This window comes from Homo sapiens, chromosome 5 (genome assembly GCF_000001405.40).
Source record: "Homo sapiens chromosome 5, GRCh38.p14 Primary Assembly".
NCBI classification, from domain to species: domain Eukaryota; kingdom Metazoa; phylum Chordata; class Mammalia; order Primates; family Hominidae; genus Homo; species Homo sapiens.
In genome coordinates this window covers 169689159-169707443 of record NC_000005.10, presented here as the reverse complement: position 1 = coordinate 169707443, position 18285 = coordinate 169689159, and the positions used below count along the sequence as shown (strand labels likewise).

General features: G+C 44.5%; 1 protein-coding gene across 8 annotated transcripts in view, besides 3 other annotated features; it reads right to left on the bottom strand.

Moving 5' to 3' along the window:
• The window catches only part of DOCK2 (dedicator of cytokinesis 2), a 446108-nt gene that overhangs the window by 375939 nt on the left and 51884 nt on the right, over window positions 1–18285 (bottom strand). For all 8 annotated transcript variants that reach the window (NR_156756.1, NM_004946.3, XM_011534449.3 and 5 more), the window contains exons 9-14: window positions 18111–18192; window positions 11506–11641; window positions 8995–9070; window positions 7986–8062; window positions 7305–7430; window positions 5017–5141 (exon numbers count right to left, since the gene is read on the bottom strand). Coding sequence is in view for 7 of the 8 variants with exons in the window: in NM_004946.3 (NP_004937.1) it covers window positions 5017–5141; window positions 7305–7430; window positions 7986–8062; window positions 8995–9070; window positions 11506–11641; window positions 18111–18192 (622 nt within the window). In the remaining variant the exon portion in view is untranslated. The remainder of the gene's footprint in view (window positions 1–5016; window positions 5142–7304; window positions 7431–7985; window positions 8063–8994; window positions 9071–11505; window positions 11642–18110; window positions 18193–18285) is intronic.
• Window positions 4012–4421: an enhancer, noted in NCBI's record as "active region_23598". NCBI's record gives its function as "activates an Ori minimal core promoter by ATAC-STARR-seq in GM12878 lymphoblastoid cells {active_cell/tissue: GM12878}" and the evidence as "EXISTENCE:reporter gene assay evidence [ECO:0000049][PMID:35858748]".
• Window positions 4482–4531: an enhancer, noted in NCBI's record as "active region_23597". NCBI's record gives its function as "activates an Ori minimal core promoter by ATAC-STARR-seq in GM12878 lymphoblastoid cells {active_cell/tissue: GM12878}" and the evidence as "EXISTENCE:reporter gene assay evidence [ECO:0000049][PMID:35858748]".
• Window positions 10767–11966: an enhancer, noted in NCBI's record as "BRD4-independent group 4 enhancer chr5:169122482-169123681 (GRCh37/hg19 assembly coordinates)". NCBI's record gives its function as "activates an origin of replication core promoter dependent on BRD2, P300/CBP, MED14 and CDK7 cofactors, and independent of BRD4, by STARR-seq in HCT116 cells {active_cell/tissue: HCT116}" and the evidence as "EXISTENCE:reporter gene assay evidence [ECO:0000049][PMID:35650434]".

Genomic DNA, 18285 nt, shown 5'->3' with positions numbered 1-18285 from the left:
GAAGGACACAAGGACAGGTGAGGAATCAGGGAAGATTTGTTGGAGGCAATGACAGTTGAGAATCTTGAAGAAAGTTTCCAAGTTGGCACACAGCAGAAATGTGGGAGGGGCTTTCTGAGCAGAGAGTGAGCACAGAGCACACATGTCCAAGTGGGACATTTATTCCTTGCCATAAAAATCACCCTCAGAGGTTCAGAAAGGAGCTGACTCACAAGGAATGACCTCCTGGTCACATACAACAATGCCTACTTCTATGGTCATTCCAGCCGTTTGGCCCCCAAACAAGATCCAAGCTAGGATTACCCAGAAGGGGCCCGAAGTGTGGTTTTTATATTAGGCCAAACAATTTTCAATCCTCAAATTGCCAGATTCATAAGATTTGGTTTTGGAGCCCCAGCCCCTGAAATTGCAAACTGTGTGCCTCTCGGCATGTTGATGGTGAGCGAGTCATGCCTCTCATGAGATTCAATCAGATTCTCCCGTGGGTCCTTGACCTTCAGCAGGCTGAATCACCAAAGCTGGCCACATACAGGCACTCCGTGAGCCCTGGCCAACCATGCTAACCTGGGGAAAGGAAGACTCGCCCTTCACACTGGAAATCTCCCCTTGTGCTTCCGAGGTATGGAAAAGGAATGAGCTCAGTTTCAATATTGACTGACAGTACTTGCAGCCAAATCGATCCATTTGAAAACAGAATACACAGCAGTCCTTTCAGAATGTATCTTTAAAAGAAAAACAAGTGTAACCAATGAACCAGAACTGAGTGAAGACACACAGCTCTCCTTGTTTTTCCATGGGATGAAGCCTTCCAGAACTTCCCGAGGCACTGAGCTAAAAACATGCTTCCAAAGTCTTTCTAACCATTTAGAGTGGGCTTTGTGTCCAGCATCACACTAAGCCCTGCACACACACCACCTCGCTTAATTCAGTCCTCATAGCCACCTCTGATGCTTACTGTCAGCATCCCCATTTCACAGCTGGGTGACCTGAGTCCCTGAGAGATTAAACCACTTGCCCAAAAAGTGGCAAAGCCAGGACAACATCACAGACCCTCTAAATACTCATCCAGTGTTCCTTCTATAAGAACCTAGATGCCTTCCAGCCTACAAAGATTTATATCTGTTGACATTTATGGGCTTAGAGTTTCTGTAGTTACAGTAAATCCCATGTAGCTTACCAAATCAGAAACTACACATATATCTCTGGTGAAAGTAAAACTGCCGCATGGCAGGCAACTGGATCTCACAAAACTGTACTGATGATGAAAATTTTTGATTTCCTAAGGCTGGAGAAAAAAGTCTCAGTACCAGTCAGAGAAAAGCCAAAGATAGTGCCATAGGCCTCAGCACTTCAGAGAAATAACAGTGTTGGGAAGTGCACTGAGAGAGCATTGTGACCAGGGACTGAGCCCAGTTCTAGGGAAAATATACACTGGTATATATCTCAAATAACACTGTTCCATAATTTTCTACATTGCCTATCCCCATGGCCCCCAATTAACAGTGAGAGCCCCTCATAGGTGTGGGAGACTTCAGGTCAGTTGAAGAAAATCTGAGTATGGATCAGGAAGCCTGGAGGCTTTCATGTTGGCTTGGCCTTAGAAGAAACATCTCTGCAGGAAGAAAAACCAGGCTCCTAACACATGTCCTGTTTACTTGGTAGGAATCAGGTGAGAAAGAGATGACACCAGGGATGTGAACACACTTTAGGAAAGACAGTGTTCTCCTCTCACAAGACCACATCATGGGATGTCGATTAGCATGCCTAAGGTAGGAATCAGGCTGGGAGCTCAGTATACCCTTCTAATAATAATAGCTAAATTTAATGCACACCTATTATGTAGATTACCTCATCTGATATTCACAAGAGCAAAGTGCCATTGCTGGTCCTATTTTCAGACAGAGACTCTCAGGCTTAGAGAGGTTATGTAACTGCCTCAACATCCTCTTACTAATTCAGGCAGAGCTGGGCTTTGCACCTGGCTGTCTGGCCCCAGGGGTCATGGTCTTAACCACTATCCCATACTTCCCCTATCCCCTGCCTCCACCGCCTCAAGTTGGGTGGTCTCAGAAAAACAGAGGTTTCTTGGCCCAGCATCTAAGCCTTTCTCTTTCACCAGAATTTGCTTCTGGCTGGATTGCCTGTTTGACTCCCTCAGGTCCCTCAGAGGGCTTCACCCTGCACTTGGTCCTCTTCTCTGAATGTGACCCTCCTTCCTGTTGCTGGGTACTTACTGCAATACCAGGTGCCTTATACCTATGGCGTGTTTTGTCTGTTTGTTGAGAAAGGGTCTCACTTTGTCGGCCAGGCTGGAGTGGCTGGGGTGCGATCTCAGCTCACTGCAACCTCTGCCTCCAGGGTTCAAGCAATTCTCGTGCCTCAGCCTCCTGAGTAGCTGGGATTACAGGTGCTTGCCACCACACTCAGCTAATTTTTGTATTTTCAGTAAAGACAAGGTTTCACCTTCTTGGCCAGGCTGGTCTCAAACTCCTGACCTCAAGTGATCTGCCCCCCTTGGCCTCCCAAAGTGCTGGGATTACAGGTGTGAGCCGCTGTGCCCAGCAGCATGTTTATTTTTAAAATTTTTTAATTTTAAAATTTTTAATTTTTGTGGGCACATAGTGTGTGCATACACATACACACACACACACACACACACACACACACACACACACACACACACATATATATGGAGTAAATGAGATGTTTTGATAGAGGCATACAATGCATAAAAATCACATCATGGAAGATGGGGATCCATGTCCTCAAGCATTTATCCTTTGTGTTATAAACAATCCAATCATACTCTTTTAGTTGTTTTAATACCTACTCTTTTGTTTAACCTGCAACCCCACGAGAAGAGGTTATTATTTCTTTTTACACATGAATAAACTTGCCTAAGATCACACAGCTAATATGAGGGGAGGCTGGAATTTGAACCCTGTCTGCCTGACCCCAGAGCCCACCCCATTAGCTTCTCTGCTATGACCCCTCCTGAGCAAGGCCCTTGACACCCCAAGGTGAGCCATGAGCAGGCCTAACCTCCTCTGCCCTCTGGTCCTGCTCTGCCAAAGACAGTGTGCATGCACCTAGAGCAGGAGGAGAAATCAATATTTCTAAAGGGGACCATTTCCACAGGAGCCCACCAATATCAAACAGAAGTGTTTGAATGTACTGACTGACACTTAATTAGGCAGTAATATTTATTTCTACAAATAGAGAAAGAAAAGCCTCCCACAGGCTTCCTAAGCAATTTTCAATAGTCAGTCAACTGAACTCCCCCAGAATTTCCCTAATAGAGGAAACCACAAATCATCACCATGCCCCACAGTTCCCTTTCCATGTCAGCCCCCAGAATACCTGCTTACCTACTCATCTTGGATAAGTGCATCTGCTCAGCCTGCTCGGTAGTGACTTGAAAGGGTGACAAAAGTGGAAGAAAGAGTGGCTCAGACAGGAGATAAGATGGCTGCTTGCCTGTTAACTGTGTCTTTTAATTTGTCCTTTGGCAACATGGAAGGTAAGCGTATCAATGTTTCAAAAATGAAGCTGAGGTTAAAAAGTTCTCTACCAGGGAAGTTGGATAAAAGTAACTTCAAAGCAATGGTCTCTACATTTGGGAATTGCAATTTCCCTTTCAGATAAAAACCCTCCGCTCCTTTATGTTCCTTTGAGTCAAGTATTTCTCACTTATTTTATTTTTTGGAAAAAGTTTCAGACTGCAACAAAAGGAGGATGCGTTCAATGCTTAGATTTTGTTCAAATAGATACTAATTAACATGACCAGTCTTTATGAACAAAAAGGCAATTGTGAGGATTTCTTTACATTTAAAAAACGATTATGAATCTTCCCAAATTTGCCAGCAGTGGTTATTAGCCTCATTTTTTAAAATGAGAAATAAATTGGAGAATTTTGCTACATGTACGGGCATTGTAGTGAAGTGTCTCAGAGGGCCTGGAACCAGTCAAACCCCATCTCTGACATATGCTAACATTATGGCTTTGGGCGAGTTACTGTAAGTGACACGGGTTTTGTTTCCCTATCTGTAAAATGGGGCATAATAAAGGAAATGTGTCATACTATCACACAGCCTGACACATGGTAATTCCCCTGTGAATGTTAGTTATTCTTGGGTACAAAGTATCAGTCTGATCTCCAGGCCCCAAGGACAAAAATGATGCCTCTTCCATCTTCACATCCCCTCTCTGATGAACACACCCGCCCTGCTTGGCTATTTGATCACTCACAGTGGCCTAAGAGGAATATTCGCCCATGCTAAAATTTCTCCTGAGAGCTGATTTTCTTTTCAGCTAACTACTCTGTCAGGAGGAACTGAGAAACAAAACCCTCCTACACACTGGACACAGCACTGACAACCTTAAAGAAAATACAAGCAAATAAATATAAACACACATGACAAATATTGGACAGGACATATGCTGTATAAATATAGCAATGCGCTTTGCATTCCTGAATACACCCTGCTAGCTCTCTGGAGACCAATTTACGAATAAGGCTTTCCACCAGCATTTCTGGCTGAGCGCTGGGGAGTTAGATTAAGTGTTGAGAATGCCTGCTTTAAGCACATCCTGAGCCTCCACACCAGCCCAAGGCACTGTATTGATCCTCTTTCTTACCATGGACTTTGCCTGAATAAACCAGCTCAGGTTTCAGTGAGAACATTTTAACTGCAGAAAGCTAACCTATAAGCTGAGACCAAGCAAAAGTAAATAAATAAATAAATACATACATACATACATACATACATACAAGAAGAAGTTGTGAAAGGAAAGGAACAGACATTGAAAAACTGCTTTGGTGTAAGGAAATATCACAAGGTCTTATTATGGAACACTGCACTAACCAAGCTCAAAAGGTGTTGAACACATTATTCAACACCATCCCAAAGGCACCTGGCATTTAGACAACAGAATCAGGGAGAGGAAAAGTACGTCTTTACAAGCAGAGGCCCCCAAGGCGGACCCTGTCACCCAGAGCAGCAGTGAGTCCCTTACAGGCAGCGTTTTGCCATCCTCCGCGCACACACACATGATGACTTCCACATTCCTCTGTGTGGTCTTGTTGTACTTGTCAAAGTCACCTTGTAAGAGAGTAATGTAGATGTCGTTCCTGACATCCCCTGAGGCAGAGGGAGAGAGAGACAAGAGTTAGTGTGGATTACAGCAGGAGAGACGCTGACTAACTAGAGGGGATGGAGGGTGAGAAGAAGCTCTCCCACCTGGATTGGTATTAATTAAAATCAGAATTGCTTAGAGAAAGCATTTTTCCCTCATCAGGGAGGCTGGAGAAGTAGGTAACACGGGGATGAAGGGATGCTAGGAAATCAGTTGCAAAAAGGGAAGTAGGGACACTCAAAATTGGCCATGTTTTTCTCGACATTAAAAGTCATTTAATTTTCATCCTCTAGTGACACCTTCTGGGAAGGCAAAGGAAAGCTCCAATTGAATTGATCCTGTCCCATGAAAACAACCAAACATATACATCTGCCGATATTTCACTGTGTAGGAGCAGAATAGAGCAACTTTCCATGTGTCCTAGGGACACAGGGTTAGGAGGGAGCTGCAGAGGATCTTCAGGAAGGGAGGTAAGAAAAATAGAAAATCTGCCAGACACAGGTAGCTCATGCCTGTAATCCCAGCACTTTGGGAGGCCAAAGCGGGCAGATCGCCTGAGCTCAGGAGTTCAAAACCAGCCTGGGAAACATGGCAAAACCCTGTCTGTATCAAAAAATACAAAAAAATTAGCCGAGTGTGGTGGCACATGCCTGTGGTCCCAACTGCTCAGGAGGCTGAGGTAGGAGGATTGCTTGAGCCTGGGAGGCAGAGGCTGCAGTGAGCTGAGGTCAAACCACTGTACTCTGCACTCCAGCCTAAGTAACAGAGCTAAACCCCATCTCAAAAAAACAAAAAGAAAAAAAAAAAGGAATAGAAAATCCTACAAGGGGTTACACAAGTAACTGAAGTCTCAGGTAAAGCATGGACAAATAAATGACAGCACAGGCCCTAGGAGACAACCGCCAGACAAATGTGGAAAGAAACAGCCAGTCAGTGAGAGCCATCGTGAACGGAAGTCCAAGACACAGGTTTAAGACACAAAGAGAAGTTTCAAAAGAGTATTACCATTGTCAAAAGACAAAATTACAACAAATTTAGTTTGAAGACCTCACTTGGCTCTATTGCAATTCTAGAATCGGGCAATGCTTCATTCCATAAAATAGAATCAGTATTCCAAAGAGCTGAGCAGAAGAGGTTGGCTTTATAGACAGAGAAGGCCTGAAGGAAGTAGAAGCAAGACAGAGTGAATTGGTTATTTCAAAGTTATAGCCCTCATAAGGCTGAAACAGGGAAACAGAAAAATAGAAAAGTGACTGATTGTTAACATCAGGTTACTTCAGGAACTTCATTATCATGCCCATTGAAAATTGAAAATGGCCTGTCTGGAAAATAGGCTGTTTCTCTTTCTTTCTTTCTTTCTTTCTCTCCTTCTTTTTCTTGTCTTTTCTTTCGTTCCTTCCTTTCTTTCTCTCTCTCTCTCTCTCCCTGCCCCCGCCCGCCGCCCTCTCTCCCCTCTCCGAATTTCTTGCAAGATCAGATAACAGTTTAGTTTAGGTTTGATGACATGACCCTTTAGCATAGCTGACTCCATTTTGATTTTCAGTCTGGTTTGTTGGGGGCTGGTGCAGGAACTTAGTCCAAAACAATGCCCTCCTATAATTTTTGTTTAATATTATATAAACTCATTTTTTAAAATTATACACACATTTGGAAATGTAGTGGCTACTTCTGGAGACAAAGATATAAAGGAACTTTTAACATTTCACTTTATACCTTTTCAGGCCATTTGAATATTTTACAATGAACACAAATTCCTTTGGTAATATAAAAAAAAAAAGCTTAAAAATATAAGAGAATGACAATATTCTCCCAGAAAGAGTGCAACTGTTCTGCATGTATAAAATATAAATGATGGCCACAATAAATTATTAAGTGATAAAAACAAGTTGTAGAATACTATATAAAGTATATTAAGTAAAGGAATATAAAATATGACCCCATTTGTGGGGAGAAGGGGTATGTGTTTATATTTACATGCTTGTGTCTATTTTGTTAATGCATAGAAGTTTTTGGATATACAGACATCATTTTTAGTTGTTACCTTCAGGGACAGAAATGGAGAGAGGCAGTAAAAAAGGAAGGAGTTGACTCTTTAGAAGGAAAATGAATTAGACAAGCTGAATTGGCCCCTATGTCCCCAGGGGAAGGTCAGAGCAGCTGTGTCTCACCTGGCATGATGATCTCTGGGAATCCCAGCTTCCTGGCCACCACGGTGGTCCTGTCCACCAGGTGTGGATAGTCCTTGCGAATCTGAATGATGTCACCCACCAGCATCTTCATGGTCACCCAGAGGCCTGCAAAGGAACAGCTCACCGTGAAGAGCCCACTTTTGCAAGTGACCCCTCAGTCGGCCCTCCCGCCACCTCTCCCCTCTGTCTTTCTGGAGATCACTGGGAACAGAGTCATACAGCCACAGATGCAGCCACCCAGCCCACAGGGCCTCTGGAACAGGCGATCTCTGGGTCTGAATCCCGCTAATGATTTCTAGCGGTGTCAGCCTCTGGCAAATTATCCCACTTCTCTAAGCCCAAAGTGAGGATGACAACACCTATCTCTCAGGCCTGGATTAAGAAAGAAATCAAACAAGGTAACTTATTAAAGTGCCCCCGGAACACCGGAGATATTCAGGATGTATCAATTCCTCTCTGCTTTTGGGCACCAGGACATGCCTCCAATTTTCTTCAGAAAATGTGACTTATCCCTGTAGATCATATGTTCCCATTCTTCCCAGTGGTCTGTCTGGAAGGAAAGCTAAGTATCCCAGGGTTCAGGATTTTGATTCATTTGCTGAAGAGTTAGGGGCTCCCAAGCTGGAGCAGGCTCAGCCCACTGGCATATTGGCACTTTACCTTGCCCTCCACTGTCCCCCTTGGAGGCTATGACTTTGCCCAGCAGGCTGTGTAGGAAGTCATTCTCAGCTGTAACCCTGGAAAGGAAAAGAGAGCATGAAATGTCCACATCGTGTCCTCCTTGCGTTTCAAGGGGTCCCATGAATCTCCCCAGCCCCTCCACACGCCTCAGGTGAAAAGTGAGTTTGCATATGTCAGCCCAGGGTATATACATGCCATCAAGAGGTACCTCACTTTTTATCACAAAGCAATGTGGCTCTGAAATTTGGGAATATCAATGCTACAGGTAGAGGCCATTTCTTATTCTCCAGGAAGATGCTTATAAAGGTAGGATTCCAAAGCTTTCAACATGCATATCTGCTTAGCAAGAGTTGCTCCTGCTAAGTCGTTATCACACGCCTTCAGCAAAGTCACTAGCCTCATTACCTGGACCATCCTTAGGGCTATTAAGTACTGATGATGCTCTCAAACTGGAGCCCTGCTTTCTGGAAGACTCCTTTTGGAACAGGAGAGGAGAGGACATTGACCTCCCTTATTGCCCTCCTCCTAAGTCATGGATACGTCTATCCATGAGAACCAGGTTAGGATTCCCTGCCACACGCTCCTGAAATGCTGCTGCTTCACAGCTTCGTGGTTTCTGCTGCACTTGTAATTAATGCATTAATCTTTTGTTGATTATCTGTTTAATTCCCCATCTATACTATGAGCTCCATGAAGACAGGGCCCATCTTGTTCACTACTTCATCCTCCACACCTAGCACAGTGCCAGCCTCTGCCAGGCCACCAATAAATGTCTGTGGCATAAATAACATCTGATGAATGAATGGCTGAAGAGCTGTTTGGTTTTGAGTGCCTGGGCACTGAGCCAGTGATTCTCACCCTGAGCTTCCCTTGGGAGGCTCCACCTGCCTATCACTAACTCAGGGAACTGGTACCCTCTGAGCTCCAGCAGCCCTTGATGACAAAGGGTGTGGTTGAAGAGAATGGAAAGAAATGGGAAATGTCTTACGGGTGAAAAGGAATGAAGTGCTGCTTTTCTTCATCACTCTCTGCTTTCCCCTTGATGATGTCTGTTATATCCATAACTAGAAAGAAGACAGAATGAATTAATGGTTTAACTTCTTCCTGTTCCCATAAGGGATGACAGTGGGATGAGCTTATGGGACAGGAGGTAGAGCCTGGGATGCCTGGGGGTCAGGAAGGCCTAAAATGGCAAGCAAGCCAGTGCTGCACAACACTCAGACAGCAGAGGTTCCTCGCGTGCAGCACCAGGGCAAATACCTCCAGGCAAAGCAGACTGGGAGGTCAGAGGGCCAGGGAGGCATCCAAGAGCACCATGGCTTAGCAGAGGCCAAAAGGAAAGGGTCAGAGCCGTGGCTGTGGAATTCAGCAATTAGGTTTGGATTTGACATGCATGTATTGAATGTCTACCATGCCTACAAAACCAGACAGCAGTGATTGGGTCTCTGTAGGATCTGAGAATCTCATGAAATATCCACCCTCTTTTCATAAGCATACTCATATGTACAGATACATAACTGAAGAATCCTCAAATCCTGTGATTCCAGAGGTATCCTGGATCCTCTGAAACCTTTCCTTAAATCAGCCACTAAAGGTCCCAAAACCAAGGTAAAGAACTCCTACACTAGAATGGGGATTATAGAAGTGGGAGTGTAGGAGAGGGCTGAGAAAAGCTACTCCAATCAAGCTCATACCCTAGTTACAGAAAATACGTCAAACACTCCAGGCACTGGGCAGGGGCCATTAAAATTGCTTGGGTAATAATCAACCACTGACTGCATCTAGATAGAGAGGGGAGTCAGAGAGCAGACAGGAGGAGAAACCGAGCATCCATTCTCTCTAACTGACTCTCCTCATCCATCCTCAGGGCTGTGATTAGGGCAGGGCAATTTCCCTTTGGCTCCAAAGTTATTCATAGGACCTGGTAGATCAGATAATCATCTCTCCCTGCCCAGAGTAAAGACTATGGAGATGAGGACGTGACCTATATTAAAGCTCCTGGGGCTTCTGCTGAAACTAATGGGAAAGAGGTACATTCTTTCCACTGGTTGCTAAGTTGGTAGGATGCAAGCTTGGAACAGCTGGCTGATAATTTGCCAACTAGTTGGACAGCCATCTTCTTAGTAAGCCAGCATGAAGACATAGGGGCTGAGCAAGAAAGAGACAAATTCTTCATAGTAAGCCAGCATGAGGACATGGGAGCAAGAAAGAGACAAACTGATTTGAGTTCCTGGATCCAGCTATGCCTGAAGCGATCTATTCATAAGCTCTTCAGTTACACCAATAAAGTACCTTTTCTTTTCCTTCTTCTACCAGTTTAGATCAGATTTCTGTCATCTGACACCAAAAGAGAGGGCAGGCTACAGCTGAGGACAAAGACACACTTTGCAGTAAGGTTGAAGGATCCTTACTGCCTTAACAGAAACACCATGATGTCAGAAATGCCCCCACAAGTAGAATCAGAGCATTTTAGAGCAGTAGAGGATTTCATGAATTAACCAGGTATGAGTCCTTCATTTTGCACATAATAAAACTAAGGCTCTGGGGAAAATGCTTGCCCAATATCACTGGCTGGCTAGCTAGCCGCAGTGCCAGGTTAAAAAAAAAAAAAAAACAGTGAGCTCAGTAAAACATCCTCCACTCCACCGCTTTGCAAGCAGTGCCAGGGGACTAGTTGGAGAGTAAGCAGGTCTGCGATTACAGATCAGAGCATCTTGAAGTGAGAAACCTGAAACACTGAGGTTAGCTATGGTACATAGGGGTTATGCACGGTATACTCTTAAAATTTTATATTTTAATAAAAAGAAAACTGGCATATCAAATTGCCATTTTCACAGGAATTTAAATCGCCTTTGATGAAAAACATACATTATGTAAAGCAGGTTGATTAAAAGAAACTATATTTGGTAAATAACAGTACAAGTGGTAGTCAAACATAACTAAAACCATAAAAGTGGGGCAAGAATGACGAAGCCTTAGAAACCCCAGGAGAGCTAAAGCTTAAGAGGAATGCAGAGCTGATGTTGCTGTACAGCAGCCTCATGCAGGGCTCTGCCTCAGGTCACGCCAATTCTCCAAATGTCCGTTTCCATCTGGAATTTAGATGTGTGGTAGGTGACTCATTCTGTGTAACTGCATTTCCTGTCCTAGATGTACTTTTTAAATGATTTGCTCCTCATAATTAGATCCTGCCTGTATTGTTTTTCCTTTTTCACAGAGCTGGGGAGCAAAGGTGTCAACTGCTCAGACGGCCCCGGTCTCCCGATGCTCTACTCCAGACAAGAGGAGCCCATGATTCACTGTGTTCATCATAAATCTGGACTTAGTCACCAATTATTTTGATTTAGTCACCAGAAATGTAGTTATTAAGGGCTGTCTGGCATAAATTTTGCAGGGGTGGGGGCAGCAGGAGGCGGTTGGGAAACAAATCATCATTACAATTCAGCCACATAAAATGTGCGCTCCCATAAAAATCAATGATGCAGAGTGTGCCCCTTACCTGCCACCCCAAAGGGCCTCCTCAGTCCCTGCGTGCACTTCTTTGCACCAGTATCCTTAAGATCCATCTTGCCGACCCGGACTATTTGACAAATCAAGTAAATTTTATCCCTGTTGAGGTCTTTGTTTCCAAGATCCTGGGGGGAAAGAAACAAAAAATTGACCATCATGTGCTGAATGGGGGAAAAAAGGTAGACAAGAAAACCCAGTAATAGTAATTTCTGAGGGATGTATATAATACTTGCTATACATGGACCAATCATACAATAAGTCCTGGAAAAGATAGAAACAAGGCTCTCACATCCATTTCACAGATAAGCAAGGTAAGGTTTGCAAAGGAAAATGAGTGATAAAACTCTAGTGTTTAATCCCAATTCTTCCCTCTCAAAATGATAGGGCAAGAGAAGGGTAGAGGTGGAATATCAGCTGTACAGACAGGATTCCCCATATGCCGAGGTGATAGATCCAAAAGTAGCATTTGCTACAGATGACTCGGATGACACCATCGGTCACATCATTGCTCAGAACCTCTGAGAGAGAAGACAAAAGGAAGAGAAAAAAATCATAACAGCTACCATTTCCTGCACATCTAAAGTGTGGCCATCAGTTGGGTTGAGGTAGTGCTAACAACCCCAATATCTCAGTGCTTACAACACAGCAGAAGTTTACTTCTGGTGCAGTCTACAGGGCCAATGCAGAGGGGTGGGGGCTCTGATTACTTACTTACTCTGGGCCCTTGGCTGGCAGCTCTGTCTCAGCACGGGTGCGCTCACTGTCTCTGCCACAGGGGAAAGGAATGTGGCAAATCACTTCTGGCTTTTAAATCATCTACCCAAGAGAGATGCACATCACTTTTTGCTTGCATGTCATTTGCCAAAGAAAGGCATATGGCCGCACCTGACTTCAAGGGGTCAGGAAACTGCAGTCAACTATCTGTTTGTTTATTTATTTATTTTATTTATTTTGAGACAGGGCTTCACTCTGTCACACAGGCTAGAGGGCAGTAGCATGATCACAGCTCACTGCAGCCTCAGTCTCCCAGGCTCAAATAATCCTCCCACCTCAGCCTCTTGAGTAGCTGGGACTACAGGCATGAGCCACCATGCCTACCTAATTTTTTTTTTAAGAGATGGGGTCTCACTATGTTGTCCAGGCTGATTTCAAACTCCTGGGCTCAAGCAATCCTCCCACATCAGCCTCCGAAAGTGCTGGGATTACAGACATGAGCCACCAGACCCAGCTCAACTGAGTCTAGAAAAGCCAAAACTGGTGAAACGCACTCTCATCCACTGTGCTAAGTGATTCCTGCATCACCATATTCAATCTCTCACATCTCTGAAGTACATACAATTATTGCATCCCCATTTGACAGATGGGGAAACTGAGACACAAAGAAGATAAGAGGCTTCCCCAAGGTCATGACCATAGCCCATGAGACTCTGGGCTTTGAGCCCAGTCCCTGACACCAAAGACCACAAACATAGCTACTACAGTACAGCTCCCTTGCCATCAGAAAGGCATGCAGGAGGAAACTCCTGACTTCATGCTCGAATCTAAAAGCTTCAGTGATCTTGAGGCCCCCTGCCAGTAAGGATCAGCTAAGGAAGAAACAACAAGACATGCTGTTGGCATCAGAGTAGAGTACCCTGGGCCAGGTCTCAAAAGGGAACAGTTTATTCTCCTTCGAGTTAATTCTCATATGGGCATATGCACTGGGAATAAGCTGTCGGCTCACATCAGATCCAGGACCAAGGCACAGCTGCCATCCCCTGCCTCTCACTATGCTGGTATAGGAGGAAGGGAGTGGGGCTGTGCAGAGTCTCTGGGAACAGGGCAAGGCCCCAGTGTGGTCCACACCTTCCTGCCTGGGGACCATGACGGTTAAATTTTGTATGCCAACCTGGCTAGGTTGTGGTGCCTAGCTGTTTGGTCAAACACCGGTCTGGATATTGCTATGAAGGTATTTTGTAGACCTGATTAATATCTACAACCAGCTGACTAAGTAAAGGAGATGACGTTCTATAATGTCCGTGGGCCTCATCCAACCAGCTGAAGGTCTTAAGAGCAAAAACAGGTTTGCCAGACAAGGAGGAATTCTGCCTCAAGACTGTAGTATAGAAATCCTGCCTGAGTTTCCAGCCTGCCAGCCTGCCTTTAGGATCGCAAACTTATATTCCATGGGTTCTGTTTCCCCAGAGAGCACTGACTGGTACAAGGGCTGTTCATCCCACCAGCTGCAGGAATGGACATCTGCTTTTCAGGCTAAGAAAGACCCCCCACCCCATCATCTGCATCCCTTGCCTTCTTCTGCAGGCATTTGAATTTGAGATCCCAATTATTTCACGTCCAGATGGTTGGAACAGCCTTGTCTCTGGCCTGCCTGACTCCTTCCTCCAAACCATCCTGAAATCTCTTATGAATTCATCTTTAGACATCGCATCTATTATTTCATTTATTTCCCCCCAACAACATTAATAGCTCCCTATTTCCTACCCTATTAGTTCTACTCTTTCCCAGTTGACATGAAAGGACCTAGACATAATATATCCAGCTGTCCTAGCCCACTGATTCCCCATGACTCTCTGAATATAAGTAGGTTATTTTTGTCACAAAGATTTCTTTATTGCTCCATAAACACACAATGCTCACTTCCAACTCTGGATCTTTCTTCCTAACCACCCTGCTCCCACACTTCCCCTCCAATGCTTGCCTCTTCCTCCTCTACATATCCACATCCTTTCCATCTTTAAAACTTGAATCCTCCTTCCTTCATAATGACCTCCATCCCTAATACCTTCTCTCCTCAAATTAGGATTCTCCATATTTTTGAAATACTTAGATTGGTGCCTTTCAGAGCGACAGAGGCCCTGGTACCTGAAAGCTTCCTAGACTTGAAGGGGCTGAATTGCTCCCCCACCCCCACACACACACCCCAAATTCATATATTGAATACCTAATCTTCAGTGTCTCACAACATGACTGCATTTGGAAACAGGGTCTTTAAATAAGTAATTAAGTTAAAAAGAGGTTGTTTGGTCAGTATGACTGGTGTCCTTATAAGAAGATATCAGGGCACAGACAAACACAGAGAGAAGACCACGGTGAAGACTCAGGGAGAAGACAGTCATCTGCAAACCAAGGCAAGAGGCCTCAGAAGAAACCAACCCTGCCAACACCTTAATCTCAGACTTCTAGACTCCAGAATTGTGAGAAAATACATTTCTCTTGTTTGCATGAACCAATCTGTGATAGTTATGGCAGGCCTAGCAAACTAATATACTACATAAACCTAGAAGATTCCCAGGTAAGCCCCCATTCCACCTTCTTCTCTTAACAATTTTTTACTTGCTCAAAGGAAGATGTCAGACCTCTTAGAGCTGTCTCATCGGACAGCGCCCCCCCGCCACCCCACCCCCACACACACACCTCCACACTAAAGAATCTTAAAGTGTAAAAAATAGCCAAATGCTATATTCACATTATATTCTCTGGAGGGTGTGTCAACTGGCAATCCTCATACAGAATTGTGCTCCAATCTATGGTGTCTCCCAGTCATTTCTGCTTCGGCCTTACAAAACTCGAAAGTATTGGGGAAGCAGGGCAATGGAACTTAACAAGCATCACCTGATTTAGGAACTCATTAGTGCTTCTTTTATTGTTCACTCTTGTTTCCTGTGTGTTAGCAACCACCCCAAAACTGGGCTAAATCTTAGGGAACCTCGTAGTATATGCTGCTTTCTTCTTACATAGCCTTGTGGGGTAAACCCTTACAAAACAGAGGGAAAGGGCCAGGAGCAGTGGCTCACGCCTGTAATCCCAGCACTTTGGGAGGCTGAGGTGGGTGGATCACGAGGTCAGGAGATCAAGACCATCCTGGCCAACATGGTGAAACCCCGTCTATACTAAAATACAAAAAATTAGTGGGGCGTGGTAGCATGTACCTGTAGTCTCAGCTACTTGGGAGGCTGAAGCAGGGGAATTGCTTGAACCCAGGAGGTGGAGGTTGCAGTGAGCTGAGATTGCACCACAGCACTCCAGCCTGGCGACAGAGCAAGACTCCATCTCAAAAAAAAAAATAAATAAAAATAAATAAATAAATAAATAAATAAAACAAAACATAGGGAAAGTCAACAGTCAGCTGGACCCACATGCCAGGCTCAGAGAGGCTCAGAGAGGCTCAAAGATCTGGAAGCCTTCCCCCAACATAGGAGACCAGGAAGAGCTAACATCCAGAGAGGGAGGAAATAAGGCCAGCAAGACACATGCTTGCCAAGTCTTATCTCATCTCTAATTTAAACGTCACCTCAACACCCAGTTGAAAGTAACTTCCAGTCACATACCATCACATCACCCTGTTTTAATTATCTGCATTGCTTGGATTGCTTTCTGACATTGCTCTTGTTTATTTGTGCATGCATTTTATTATCTGAATTTAACCCCACTGCACCATGAAAGCACTCACTGCTGTATGGCCAGTGCTTAGCACAGAGCACATGCATAGTAGGCACTCATTGGCTAGCTCTTGGATCGATATAAGAAGTGAGAGCACCATCACCTTCCTTGCCCCCTGATATGGTCTGGATCACTGTCCCCACCCAAATCTCATGTTAAAATGTAATCCCCAGGCTGGAGGTGGGGCCTGATGGGAGGTGATTGGATCATGGGGGTGCTTTCTTATGGTTTAACACCAGGAGAAATGACACCAAAGGTGCTATCATCATGATAGCGAGTTCTCCTAAGACCTGGTTGTTTAAAAGTGTGTAGCACCTCCCCCGTGTCTCTTGTTCCTGCTCTGGTCACATAGGACAAGCCTGCTTTCCCTTTGCCTTCTGCCATGATGGCAACTTTCCTGAGGCCCCCCCAGAAGTCGAGAAGATGCCAACATCACCCTTCTCGTACAGCCTGAAGAACCATGAGCCAATTAAAGCTCTTTTCTTTACAAATTACCCAGTTTCAGGGATTTCTTTATAGCCATGCAAGAATGAACTAATACACCCCCAGATCAAGACTGATCATCTTAACAGAGGGAAGCATCCACCTGTTGAGCCTGTCAACCAAGGCTCTCAACTCCACTTGTTCTGAGGAGCGGAGGTGTGGCCCAGGCAGAATTCCATGAAGGCAGGATTACATTCTCATTAATGCTGTGTGACACAAATTTACTGATGCTCTTTCCCCCATGTTTACATCATGAATTGGTTCTCTGCAAAATGAACCACTGATTGATTCCCCGTTCTTCTCCCTCTCATGCAACATCTGTCTTGTGGTTTAATCAGGAAGGCCTGTGGGACTCTCCTATTTATCCAGAAAATAAATAGGCTCCTCCTTGTAACTAATAACAGATAAACAGGATGGAGGCACATCTATATATGCCAAGAAAACTTTGCCTAAGCAATTAGGACCTATGATCCCATTCCATGCCTCTGGCCCATTTTTTAAAGAAAATAACAAAATTAATCAGCTATTCCTCAATGTAATCACAACATAACATAAGACATTGCAATTAATGGGCTGTAACCAAAAAATTATTGTAGAGCAAGGTAGGTTAATCTAGCATGTCGGTCACTCCTGGATCCAACTCATCTGTTTGGTCAATGCCCAAATCCCTCCCTGGCTCCTTCTCTGTAATTTCCCTAGCTAATACAGGCAATGTAGTGAAAAATCTCATAAACAGTGTTCTCCCCAAAGAAGCTTACAGACAATGCTAAGATATTTAGGTGTCTTAAGATCACACTTGCTGGGTGAGGTGGCTCACACCTGTAATTCCAGCTACTCAGGAGGCTGAGGCAGGAGAATCACTTGAGATTCTCCTTGAGAGCCGAGATGGTGCCACTGCACCCCAGCCTGGGCAACAGAGTGAGACTCCATCTCAAAAAAAAAAAAAAAAAAATCACACTCTTCACACCCTTATGGAAACAGGATGAGAAAGGGGTCTCTACTAAAAATTATAACCTTTACTTATCTCCTTCTTTCCCTTGTTTCCCCTATTCAGAGCTAAAAAGCCAGCTTCGCTCTCAGAAATAAATCATCCAAATAACAATCGATTTCAACATTTCTACGTACATGTCTTGCTCAGTGAGTATTGGTATTTAGAAGGATGATCCTAAGGACCCACCAGATCGTTAGTCATCTATGACTTAATTATATTCAGAATGTCCAATTTACCAAGGCAGTCAATATTCTAGAAAGGTCCTATTTTTTTCTGATATATTTTAGAAAGATTTTTCAGAAAGCCCTGAACAAAGAAAGGAACTCAGGTTAATCATGAATGAACCGGAAAATCAAAATTGCTGTTGTGCCCAGTTCACCTGGGCATTATTGCTCAAAGAAGTTGGTGCTTGTTTATGTAGCATTCTGCATATGTTCTCTGTGTGTGCAGGAGTGAGACGGATAGGGAGAGATGAGGAAAAACAGAGGTGAACATCCATCTTTCCGAAAGCTTCCTCAAGGCACACAATGTCCTTTGTCAGCTTTGGATTTCTGCTTGGAGCCCACAACACAGCTCTGCAGGACAGCCACACTTCACCCTGAGCTCCTGACCAGCCTCATTTCCAAGGTCACATTTTTGTGGTTGGGGAGCACGGTAACGAGAAGAGGGTGCACACTCACCGTGAAGACCACCTTCAGATTGTTGAGCATCTCAATCTCCTTAGGGAAGCCCCGGCTGCCCCATCGCACTAGGTAGTTCTCACTGTGGGAAGAAGAGTGGCAGCCCGTTACTGCCAAGGGACCTGACATCCATTTAGTCAAAACATTCACCAAGCATCTACTATGTGCCCAACAC